Here is a 12660-nt window from a genome sequence, read left to right as displayed (position 1 = left end):
CTGAATTCTTGAGCCATAGATATGTGACTATTCACAGGTAATTTACTAGGTAGCAATAGATAACTGGAACAAAATTTGGCATTAGGAGTGGGGTGTGGTATAAAAAAGACAAAGCCAAATAAAAAGAAACCTAAATGATGGGGCATTGTTTTGGGGATAGTGCTGTGGATGGAAGTCTGACAGGCATCAAGGAGGCTGTTTGTCAATGTTTCAAGAAAAGCAAGGAAATTTCTACAGAAAGTGGAAGGAAAAAGGACCCTTGTTACATAATGGTGGAAAGTTGTCAACACTGCTGTTTGCAGCGTTGTGGAAAATTGATGATCTAGTTAAGGAGATTTCCAGGCAGAGTATTGAAGCTACAACCTGGCTTATTTTTTCTGCCTATTATAAAATACAAGCAAAGAGAAATAAAATAAGGAACACATTTTCATTTTCAAATATAATTTAGAAGAAAAATGGAGGGATCAGAATGGTCTTTTCAGCCAGTAAAGGGCAATACAAGGAGGAACTTCAGGACAAAAATTAAATCTAGTTCAATTTTTACATGTTGTCAGTAAAATGCAGTGTCAGAGTAAAGAAAAAGGCACAGTGGAAGAAGCAGGAGAATGATACGCCTATAAGAACAGACAGGAGTGGTCCTTGACTTATTTTAGCAATAACTCATACATTGCCCTTATTCTTGCCTACTACCATTTTATGTTTGGTAAGTTTTTGCTTTTGTAAATGATAATTTCACTAGCTTTACTTTGAACTCACTTTTATTATCCTGGAGATGTAGAACCAACAGGGAAGCCTTCAAACTACATGTATTTGTATGACTTATGGTCTGACTATTTTAGGGAAGGTAGTGTTAGAACTCAGGCTGAAGCATCTGAAAATTGGTTGGCCATACTTCAGTTTTCTCAAGGGAGTGGATAAGTTTATGACAGTAGTTATTTGGAAATCATGTTTCTTTATCTAAATCGTTTTTAAAAGGTTCATGAAGGATGTATGCATTTATTCAGGAAAGAAAAAAAATATTTTAAACTCCACAAAACATATCTTTTTCCTCCCTTCTCTTCTCTACCCACCTTACAAGCTAACAAATTACATGTAAAAGACTGTGATAATGAAACTGAAAAAGTGTGTGTTTGTGTGTGTGTGTAAGACAGAGAGAGATAGAAAGTGTGTGTGTATCATAAAACACTAGTTATGTTTTTATGGCAATGATTAAAAATAAGCATTTTGTTGGATAATTAGTATAGGAAATATTACATACTAAATATGTAAGATAGTTAATGCTGTAATCAGATATCTCATCTTTGAAAATTTCTTTCCTAAATATTAAAATGTAGAATCAAAAGAAATGTAAATTCTACATCCCAAATAGCAGAGACTTACAAACCAGCAGTGCAGTGCTAACCTTAGAATTCTAAGCATTTTAAAGTTATTGAATAATCCTGATAATATCAATGAGTTGTGTAATTGATTAATATATAGGTGTGAATCTCAAATCATTGATGATTTAGTAAGAGTTCTCAATGTTCAATTTAGCAAGTAATAATGGACCGAATTGTTTAGTCATATTGTCATTGGACCATTCACATATATGATACTAGTATTTATAATATAATAACACAGTATCTGATATCAGGTATTAATAAGTGCTTTTTAAGATAGGTAATTTAAAATTGACATTAAGTAACTGATATTTAATGGTGAAACTCATTAAATTTCCATTAACTGAGGAAACTTACATTTTGCTTTGCATGTAGAAATGAATGTTGTAAGTACCAGTCTACAGTGGTCTTCTGCCAAAATTATCCATGATTAATATGTTTGCAAACCAGTCCACCATATCAATCACAGTAAAATGAGGTAAGAGATAAAGGAAACAAAGAGATTATCTTGTTGAAATGTTTACAACCCTAAGCTTTAGAGAGCCTAAGTGATTTGTTTGAGGTCCCTCAGATAATTGTAATATAAATTCCTTAATTTAAAATTAGATTGTATTACAAAACATTAATCTTGCTAATTTTATTGATTGAAATATAAATTTAAAATAATGTAAAAAGTGTTCTCATGGTGGACAGAAAAGGAAACAAACAATAGAATACATTATGCTCCACCTCGAGAACTTTGTATTTGAGATGAAAACGTAGAAAACTATTTTTAACATGGTAAATTTTAAAAATAGCAAAGCAATATTGTCTCCAGTTTGTTTTCTGTTGTCATAATAGATTACCACAGACTGGATAATGTATAATGAAAGAAGTTTATTTGGTTTATGGTTCTGGGGGCTGGTAAATCCAAGAACACAGTGCCTCATCTGGTGGCCTTTGTGCTATGTTGTAATATAGAGAAAAGCATCATATGGTGAGAGGGCAAGAGCACAGGAGACAGAGAAGAAGGAAATCAGGCTAAACTCATCCTTTTATCAGAAGCCCACTCCTATGATAATGGTATTAATCCATTCATGAGAGCAAAGCCCTTGTGATGTAATCATCTCTTAAAGATCCACCTCTTAATATCCTCACAATGGCAATTAAATTCCAACATGAGATTTGGAGGGGACATTCAAAGCATAGCAAATATTACATTTTAAAAATGTAGCATTATCTTGAATGTTTATGCTTAATCTGAGGAGTTCCTAAGTTAGCACCTTCTTTCTTGCCCATGGCTCTGAACATTTTGATAAATAAAACGGCAAATATTAAATCAATGTTACTGATAGAGACCAGGTTGGAAGATCTGCTTTGGTGTGAGATGCAAGTGTGATTTCTAACACTGAGCAGTAGAATTAGACAGTCTTACAGACCTAAGCACTAATTCCTCCTACATTTAAGAAATTTATGGCAGGGTACAGTGGCTCTTGCCTGTAATCCCAGCACTTTGGGAGGCTGAGAAGGGTGGATTGCTTGAGCGCAGGAATTTGAAATCAGCCTGAGCAATATGGCAAAACCCTGTCTCTACAAAAAAATGCAAAAATTAGCTGGGCATGGTGGCATGTGCCTGATTCGGGAAGCTGAGGTGGGAGGATTGCCTGAGCCCAGGGGAGGTCGAGGCCACAGTGAGCCATGATCATGCCACTTCACTCCAGCCTGGGTTACAGGGTGAGACTCTGTCTGGGAAAAAAAAAAAAAGTGCAGAGCCCCCATAGAGTCAGAAGTACCAGGAAGAGTGTGCTGTAAATATGCATAAATTTCCACTGAAACAGAAAATTCCTCCACTATTTTATATATCCCAATGTGCAAAACATGACTGTAGCAATGGAATCCATAGAATGCTTTTGTACGGAATAATAGATGACAAATCTAACAATAGAGGTTTGTAGTTTCCTATAGTACTGGGTACCTGGGACTATAGGCTTGCACCATCATGCCCTCCTAAGCTTTGTATTTTTATTTATTTATTTATTTATTTATTTATTTATTTGTGTAGAGACAGGGTTTTGCCATATAGTCCAGGCTGGTCTTCAACTCCTGGGGTCAAGAGATCTGCCAGCCTCAGCCTCCCAAAGTGCAGGGATTACAGGCGTGAGCCACCAGACTCTGCACTTTTTATTGCCATTGATCTGTGTTACAATACCTTTGTTGTAGATAACTGATAGCGATGCAAAATAATTCTTGTTTATAGCCATGCAAACATATTCTATTAGGTGATGTTAAAGAGATTTTTTTTTCTCTGTACTATGGAAGAAGCAATTTTGCCTTTATTTGCATGTTCATTTCAGTATTTCTGATTTATAATTGTGATTATTCTTTGGATTATCTGAACAGATTTTAACATCTTACCAGCTCCCTCATCAATAATGAGTTACATAAAAATTTCCACATATGTTCATTTTTTATCTGCATAAGACTCAGAATTTTACCTTTTAAAAAATCCTTTAAAATAGAAATGAGTTTTCACTTTTGTGATTCTTAAAATATCATTTTCTCCTTTTTTCAAAACAAAATTATTTTAAAATATATTTTCTACTGGGAACGTGAATTAAATACAAATAAATGTAGGAGCAATAAAATTCAAATGGTAATGAAAAGATATAAGTACAACTTTAAATCACTGAGGGATGAAAGAGGCGTAACACTATCTCTGCAACTCTGCCAGTGAACGTGAAGGTAAGGAGCAACCAACGTATGTACCAATGTACATACATTTTACCTTGTAACCAATGTAAGCAGAATCAGCGCAACATATACACGCCTATTTTAAGTGTAACTCTTATTTTTTGAGATGCAAATGAAGCTAGACTTTATTTTCCCTTGTGCAATAAGACCTTAGCAATAATCAAATACAACCATTGTTCTTGAAAAGATATTTGAAAACAAACTATGAATATTTTAAAGGAAAGACAGTGGAAATTTCATATCAAAAAGGAAAAAATAGAGGGGAAGCCTTGGTTAGGAGGAGTAGAAATAGACAAGTAAATAACTGGATCACATTATCCTTGCCCTAAAGGATTGGGAGTTTAGCAGGAGAGAAAAACATACAGTCATATATCACTTCATGATGGGGATGCATTCTAGGAAATGCATCATTAGGTGATTTTATCATTGTGCAAACATCATAGAGTGTAGTTATACAAACCTAGATAGTATAGCCTACTACACACCTGGGCTATATGGTAGAGCACATGGCTCCTAGGCTAAAAACCTGTGCAGCATGTGTCTGTACTAAATACTGTAGGCAGTTGTGACACAATGATATGTACTTGTGTACCTAAACATAACTAAGCACACAGAAAAGGTACAGTAGAAATACGGTATTACAGTCTTACAGGACCACTGTCATATGTGTGATCAGTTACTGACCAAAATGTCATTATGTGGCAGATGACTGTACCGAGAAATAATTACAAAAAGGCAAAATATTGTATTAGTTTCCTGTGCTGTTGTAACAAATTACCAAAACTTAGCAGCTTAACATAAAATTTATTATCTCACAGTTTGATAGATCTAAAGTCCAACATGGATCTTGCCGGGCTAAAATCAAGGTATTAGGAAGGCTGCATGGTCTACTGGAGCCTCTGAGGAAGAATTTGTTTTAAAATGGCTTCAGGTTATTGGCAATATTCAGTTCTGGGTGGCTGTTAAACTGGGATTATTTTTCCTTGATAGCTGGCAGTGGGGTCTTTCTCAGCTTCTAGAGACCACCCACATTCCCTAGCTCATGGCTGCCTTCATTGCTAAAGCCAGCAATGGCAGGTCAGGTCCTTCTCACACTTTCATTTTCTCTGATCCCTCCTGCCTCATCTCTCCTGCCTTACTTTTCTACTTTCCTCCTTGGCTTTTAAGATCTCATGTGATTACCTTGGGCCCAACCTACCTTGAGGTCAGCTGATAGTAACCTTAATTACATCTGCAGAGTCCCTTTAGCACAGTGCCTAGATTCATGTTTGAATAACTTGCTTTGGGGAATCTTGGGACAGGAGACATCTATATAGAATTATGACTACCATAGATTGTGTCGATACTCATGTTATATATAGGGCACATGCAAAGCTCTACGCCAAGATGCTAGTGACTACACTGAGGTCACTGAAATTGTCATTGCAATGCCTGTCACTTTTAGCAATCTTTTTGCCACCACTGGAGTGATTGTCTTCAGCACAATTATGCCTATCAAACTAGTATCAAGAATTTTGATATTTTGGGTGCTAACCATCCTAGGGAGGGTATTTAGAAAATGTCCATTTTAGCTTTACTCTTTCTTTTTGCAGCCTCCTTGTCCTTGAACTCAGGCAGGAGTCCTCAGGCATTTGGCTAGAGAGCAATCTAATATAAAAATCCTACGCATAATGTTTTCCGTTTGACAAGTCCATTATACTTGAAACAATCTTCTACTGAACTATCTTTTTTTCCCCTTAAGAATGAGTTCGCCAGAGGCTTCTTAGACTTTCACGTAAACAGACTCGTGCCATTCCTACCACCTAAGACCTATAGGCTCTGCCAGACAAACATAGATCCAGGACAAACATAGATCCATCTTAAACGGAAATGCTTGTTACACAATGCTGCAAAGACCTACAATGGAACCTCCATTTTCCTCAGAATTGGAGTATAGTTTCTTCGAACTTCCCAATTCATGGTCTGTGAAAAATTCAACACCCTCGCCATGATTTCTGCAAATTATCTTCCAGCTTACTTCTTCACGGTCCGTCTCTTCCCTCTCCTATGTTTGGGTATATTGATCAGTTAGGACCTGCTTTAGCAGCGTGTAACAGAAATGCAACAGCAATGGCTCAGTCAAATAGGGGAGAATTTTTCCCAGTCTAGCTCCACAGGGTCATCGTTGACTCAGACTCTTTTCATCTTTCTGGTCCTCTATTTTCATTATCCTCCTGCTTGCCAGGTGGCTGCTGCACCGGTAATAGCCTGATCATACTATTGGCAGGAAAACGGGAAAAGGAGGAATTGAGGAGTCACCTACATTAGGAAACCCAAATCCCTATCAGTCCATCACTCGCGTCTCATTGATGAGAACTGTGTACCTGGGTACAATTTCACCCTGAACAAATGAGGTTCTATTAATAAATAAGAACGAGGGGTGGGTATTCGTCAGGTATTCGTAGTGGCTGCTCCAATAGGTGCCTTCTCACTTCTAATTTAAACCAACATACGCAAACAGGCCTGTCACGTGTCAGTTTCCACTAAAGGTCGCTCCGCGCCAAACATTCCAACTGTCTAATAATTTTGCTGAAGACCTGAGGTTTCATCAGGAATGAGGCAGTTTCTCAAACATCTTGTTGGCTCCACTTACCATGCTTTCTTACCCCTCAATTCACACAAACAGAGCCACTCCATCTAACACAGGGTTCCTAAGATGAAGGCCTACGCCAGCCAGACATTAATAATTCCTCACTCTGTTGCATACATGGCACTTTGATATAAAAATATATTTTAACAAGGAGGAAATATTCATACTCTTCATATACATTCTCAAACAATGTATGTTCCACATTCACATAATTGCTATCTCCAGGAAGTTGATCTCACAGTCCTATTGAGAAAAACTGTTGTCATGTCTTAAAGGAAGCAGCTTCTTAAAACTATTTCCTTGAGCTTAAATAGATTTTTTTAATTCTGGAAGAATAAGGTTGTAGCAGCTTGATCGTAGAGAATCTGAAAGTATTACATTAGAAGTTAGGAGACTGGGTCCTATTTTTTGCTGTAACTGCTGTAAGAAGTTACAGATGTTGTGTCTGTTTTGATCAATATGTGCCTTTTCTGTAAAATAGAGTAGGTCAGCGTGTATAAGTTCCAAAAAGTTCTGAGTTGTGAGAGATCAAATACTTGTATTATTATTACTATTACTATTATTATTATTAATTATTATTATTATTATTTTGAGATGGAGTCTCACTCTGTTGTCCAGGCTGGAGTGCACTGGCGTGATCTCAGCTCGCTGTAACCTCTGCCGCTCGGGTTCAACCAATTCTCCTGCCTCAGCCTCCCTAGAAGCTGGGATTACAGGCGTGCACCACCACGCCCGGCTAATTTTTGTATTTTTAGTAGAGATGGGGTTTCTCCTTGTTGGCCAGGCTGGTCTTGAACTCCCGTCTTCAGATGATCCACCCACCTCAGCCTCCCAAAGTGCTGGGATTACAGGCGTGAGCCACTGCGCCTAGCCAAGATCAAACTCTTGTAATCAGCTGTTGCTTTAAGAGAAAGGAGGAAGAAAATAAGCAAAGGAAGATGGGGATGGGAGGAGAGAATAATAGGGAAGCAGAGAGGCAGGCCAGGAGAGACAGGAAGTGGGAACAGAATGAACAGAAGTGGGGAGAACCCAGTTGCTCAGTTATAACGTAAGAGTAGGAATGACCAAATGAAAAATGCAGCTACCTTGTATTCTCCTTTTGACTATGACTACATAGTTATTTCCGTCTTGATCAATTTCTGAAAAAGACTTTGATACACCCACTCTGTGCCATTGTACATGCTGTTTCTTCAGCATGAGGACATCAGTTCATATCGGCAAGCATTCCTTCCTCTATCACTGTGCCTGGCTTATTCCTAGCCACTCTTCCAAATCGGCACAGAAAACACCACCTCAGCAGTGGAGCTTTCAAGCCTTTGACTGCCCCCTAAATTCATACCCATTTTGAGCTATGAGCTTCTCTATGTGCTCTTGTAGTTCCTTATGATAGCTTCTTCTATCAGACTTACCTTTATATACAAGTGTATTCATTTATTCTGTAAAGCATTAGGTCAATGGAGTTTATTGAGTAGATATTATGAAGGAAAGCACTGTGATAGGTACTAGGTTCAAAGATAAATAAGGTAGTGTTGCTTCCAAGGACTGAATATTCTACCAGGAGAAATAACTTAAAGGGAAAGATAAATGCTGTAATAATGATATGCATGTAATTCCATGGAAGCTAAGAGGAGAGGTGCATAGACAAAGCTAAAGGAGTCAGAGGAAGCTTTCCAGAGAAAACTCCTAAAAATAAGAATAATCTAGCAAAAGAGGAAGCACTAGCAGCAGGCGTGCCAAGTAGAGGGCACAGCATAGGCAAAGGATGAGAAAGAGAGAAAAGGCACAACTCGGGCTGTGAGAAGTCACTCTACTGCAGGAAAGAGCTGTCCTGGTAGTGGTGAACAAGGGACATTTATGGCAGGGTATGTGTACAAATTCCAAGTTTATCCTAAAACCTATGGAACCCACAGAGAGGTTAAACTGTCAGGGGTGTGACATGATCACACTACAAAACCATGGATGCTACAAAACTCATTTAATTTTTTTTTGAATTGTTGATTTAAAAAATACTGAATTAGAAACACATATTTCCTTCTATGTCTTGCCTACTATACAATGAATTTCTTTGAAGGCAGGGATAATGTTTTATTTGCATCTTTTCGCTCAGCAAAGCTTCAGCACATAGTAGGTAGGCATTTAATAAATGTTTGTTGAATGAATAATAATAAGTGAAAATAAGTGAATTTAAAAAATGAATAGGAGAATTTGGGTGAAAAGTAATATTGTTAAATACACTCATGGATGCTGTTAAATTGCACACAGGATGGGAAAGGCTAAAATACTTCTATCTATCTAAAAGCTAAAACAACTCTGAAGCTGCAGTGACTTGAGTCATGAAGCTATTTTTTAAACCATTAATTTCTTTTTTAAGATGGGGTCTTGCTCTGTTGCCCAAGCTGGTGCAGTGGTGTGATCATGGCTCAGCACAGCCTAGACCTCCCAGGCTCAAGCGATCCTTCCACCTTATCCTCTGTCAAGGAGCTGGGACCCCAGGCATATGCCACCACGCCTGGTTAATTTTTAAATTGTATTTAATTTTTTGTAGAGATGGGGGTCTCCCTATATTGCTGAAATTCCTGGCCTCACACAACCCTCCCATCTCGGCCTCCCAAAGTGCTGGGATTACAGAGGTGAGCCACCATGCCTGGCCTATTAAAGCCTGAAATCTTGAAAGTAAATGTCTTTACAATATGGTGAATAGGAATTGTTAATGAGTTTAGAGAAGAGGCAGATGTGAATTGTTAGAAGGTATTTTCTTCCTAATGCTAATAGGCAAATACTAATATGTAAATGGCATTTAATCAGTAAACTGTAATGTTAACGATATCATTTTTAATTAAGGAAAAAAGTATCCTTGGCTAGGACAGGTGTATTTTTTGAAATATTAATCCTACATTTTATGTCACATTTATATTCTAGATTTTAAATCAGCCGTATGACCCATCTTGTGCTACTTCTAGGATGGTGTCTAGGAGTAAGTAGTAACCAGCTTCCATGTTTTAAATTTCAACCATATTTCAGGAAGGATAAATGCAGGCAAAAATAGTAAGTGGAGAATTGCTATCATCTCTCTTAATTAACTATACCAACAGAAGCCTAGTTATTGAAGACTGTGGATCCCTAACTAAGATTGAACCATGTATTTCATGTCATAGGATATTAAACTGCAGGCCCAATTCTTAGGGAATAAACAGTTTCAAGATAACTGATCTTGAAAACTCACACCTATAAAATATAGTAAATTTTATACATGGTTTTAATCTTTATTGCAAGGATCTCCAAATGCATTATGGACAGATTAATCCTCATAACCTTTATTTGGGAGATGGCAAGTATTGTCTTCATCTGATAGAGTGAAAAATTGAGTCATCTAGGATCTTGGCTTGCATCCAGTCGCAGAGCTGGAACGTGAAGAGGAAGGAGAAAAGGATGTTAGATCTGCTGCCACTTGGTTTAGAGCTTTAGTCACTAAAGTTTGGCAGCTATCTAGGTGGTAAATTATAAAATTAATTTTCTTCTGAAATTCATTCTTGACAGATGTTTTCCCATTGGTAGATTTCAAAATGTATACTGCCTAGGAAAGAAATATTTTTTCTCCTCCTAGGATTTCTTCTAGTTGAATTGGAAAATGTTGTTGGTGAAAACAACTTTGCTGTTTCATTTTTTTTAAGTTAAATGAATGCAACATTTAACAAAGCTTGTGTTTTAAAAGCCCACTTTTCATACTTCAAGCTAATATTTTGTTTTTTTTAAATTAACTATCTTAATTAAAATGCCTAATAAATTACATAGTTAATTGCTATGCAATTCAATATGTAGCTAAATACTATGTAATTTAACTGTAAATATGATATATGTATACATGTGATGTATGTTATATATATGTGATTTAATTTTATTTAAATTTAATAGTATAAATTTATTTCTTATTTATAATTTTATATAAATTAAATTTCAACCATATTTCAGGAAGGCTAAATGCATGCAAAAATAGTAAGTGGAAAATTGCTATCATCTCTCTTAATTAATTAGCCTAGTTATTCAGGACCATGAATTCCTAAGATTGAACCACATATTGGGTTTTTTTTTTTTCAAGACAGGGTCTCATTCTGTTGCCCAGGCAAATATATGTAACCATATTCATATATAACTATAAATGTAATATATGTATGATGTAAAGATGTATGTGTGTATGATAAAAAACAGTAAAACCAACACCCATATATCGAGCATTCAGCTTCAGAAATGCATTACCAATAACTCTGAAGCTCTCTTTCTTCATTTCTGGGGGTAACCACTGAATGATGTGTTTATCATTTCCTTGATTTCTTTATAGTCTTTCTACATATGAACCTATACCCTAAACAAAAAACAACATATTGTTGAGTTTCATCTGTTTTTGAATTCTATATAAATGGGATTATACTATATGTATTCTTTGACGTGTTTATGCCATTTTAACTCCAGAACTTAATTTCATTACATATATACCACAATTTATTTTTTCATTCTTGTGTCAGTTGCCATTTAGGTTATTTCCCTCTTTTTTTTTTGCTATTGCAAACAATGCTGCCATGGAAATTTCTGGAAGCAATTCTTGCCTTACCCTGTGTTCTCATGAAAGCAGAACTTGATCCACTTGTATACAGATAGTTTATTTGGAAAGTGATCTTAGGAAATAGGAGTGAGGAACCAGGGATATGAAACAGATGAGAGGAAACCTATAGAGGATGTTGTCTTTTTTGACTGAATATGTGTGTCTTTCCAAAATCTGTATGTTGAAGACCCAACCCCCAGTGTGACTATATTTGGAAATTGGGCCTCTAAGGAAATAATTAAGGTTAAAGGAGGTCATAAGACTGAAGCCCTCATCCTATAGGATCAGTGTTTTCATAAGAAGAGACAGCAGAGAGTTGTTTCTTTCTCTCACTCTCTGACATAAAAGGATATAGTAAGAAGGTGGCCATTTGCAAGCCAGGAAGGAACCAAATCAGCAGGCACCTTGATCTAACACTTCTAGCCTCCAGAAGTGTGAGAAAATAAATTCCTGTTGTTTAAGCCACCCAATTTATGGTGTTTTATTACGGCAGCCTGAACCAATTAAGATATTGTCCATTGCAGTGGACACAGGTGTAGTGGGTACTTGCAATTTTATGTTGGCTCTGAATCCATTTTGAGTATAGGGTTAACTGTCTTCTACTAGAAACAGGATTTAGTCACCCTTGATGCAGTTTTCAACTCTCTGCCTCCTGCCAGTTCCTCAATGTGGTCGATCTAGATATCTGCCCTATATACCCACCTCCTGTTAACCACTTCCCTATGAAACAGAGAGATCCAACCTACTGGACTCATCACACTGACACTCATACCTCTCATGGAATATGCAGATGTGCCACAGTGATCACTTCTAAGTCACGGTGTGGCCTCATGGGTCTTATGTCTAATTCCATCAATTAGAATTCCTCATGGGAAATCTGCTTGGGTACCCTGCACCCCAATAAAGGCCTCAGCCTGCATCAAGGGTGACTAAATCCTGTTTCTAGTATGAGACAGTTAACCCTATACTCAAAATGGATTCAGGTCTATACTTAGACCTTATATAGTTAGCTGTATACTCAAATGGATTCAGCCTACAGATCTACCTCTCTCTGCCTCTCCGTCTTCTGGTTGAGCACAATTCCCCTGAGATCTTCCCATCAGCCTTGATTAGTAACCCCCTTCTCTCTTGGACCTGTAAGTAATAAACGACTTCTGTTATTTCGTGTATTTTGTTGTGTGTCTTCTCTGTGTCTCTCCTGACTGACACACTTGGATGCAAATTTCCTCCCAGTCATAGTTATTTTTCTAGAGATTGGCTATCTTGGCACAAATATTATACAGGTCAGACAGGAGCCACATGGTACCTGCCAGTATAAACAAATG

General features: G+C 37.0%; 1 long non-coding RNA gene across 1 annotated transcript in view; it reads right to left on the bottom strand.

The window, feature by feature from the left end:
• Positions 1 to 10030: 10030 nt before the first annotated feature.
• LOC105370314 (uncharacterized) overlaps positions 10031 to 12660 on the bottom strand; it is a 29410-nt gene continuing 26780 nt past the window's right edge. Inside the window, exon 3 of the long non-coding RNA XR_931642.3 lies at positions 10031 to 10139. This is a non-coding gene — a long non-coding RNA (uncharacterized LOC105370314). The remainder of the gene's footprint in view (positions 10140 to 12660) is intronic.

This window comes from Homo sapiens, chromosome 13, assembly GCF_000001405.40.
Source record: "Homo sapiens chromosome 13, GRCh38.p14 Primary Assembly".
NCBI lineage: Eukaryota > Metazoa > Chordata > Mammalia > Primates > Hominidae > Homo > Homo sapiens.
The sequence above is the reverse complement of the archived record's forward strand: the minus strand, read 5'-3'. Positions and strand labels throughout refer to the sequence as shown.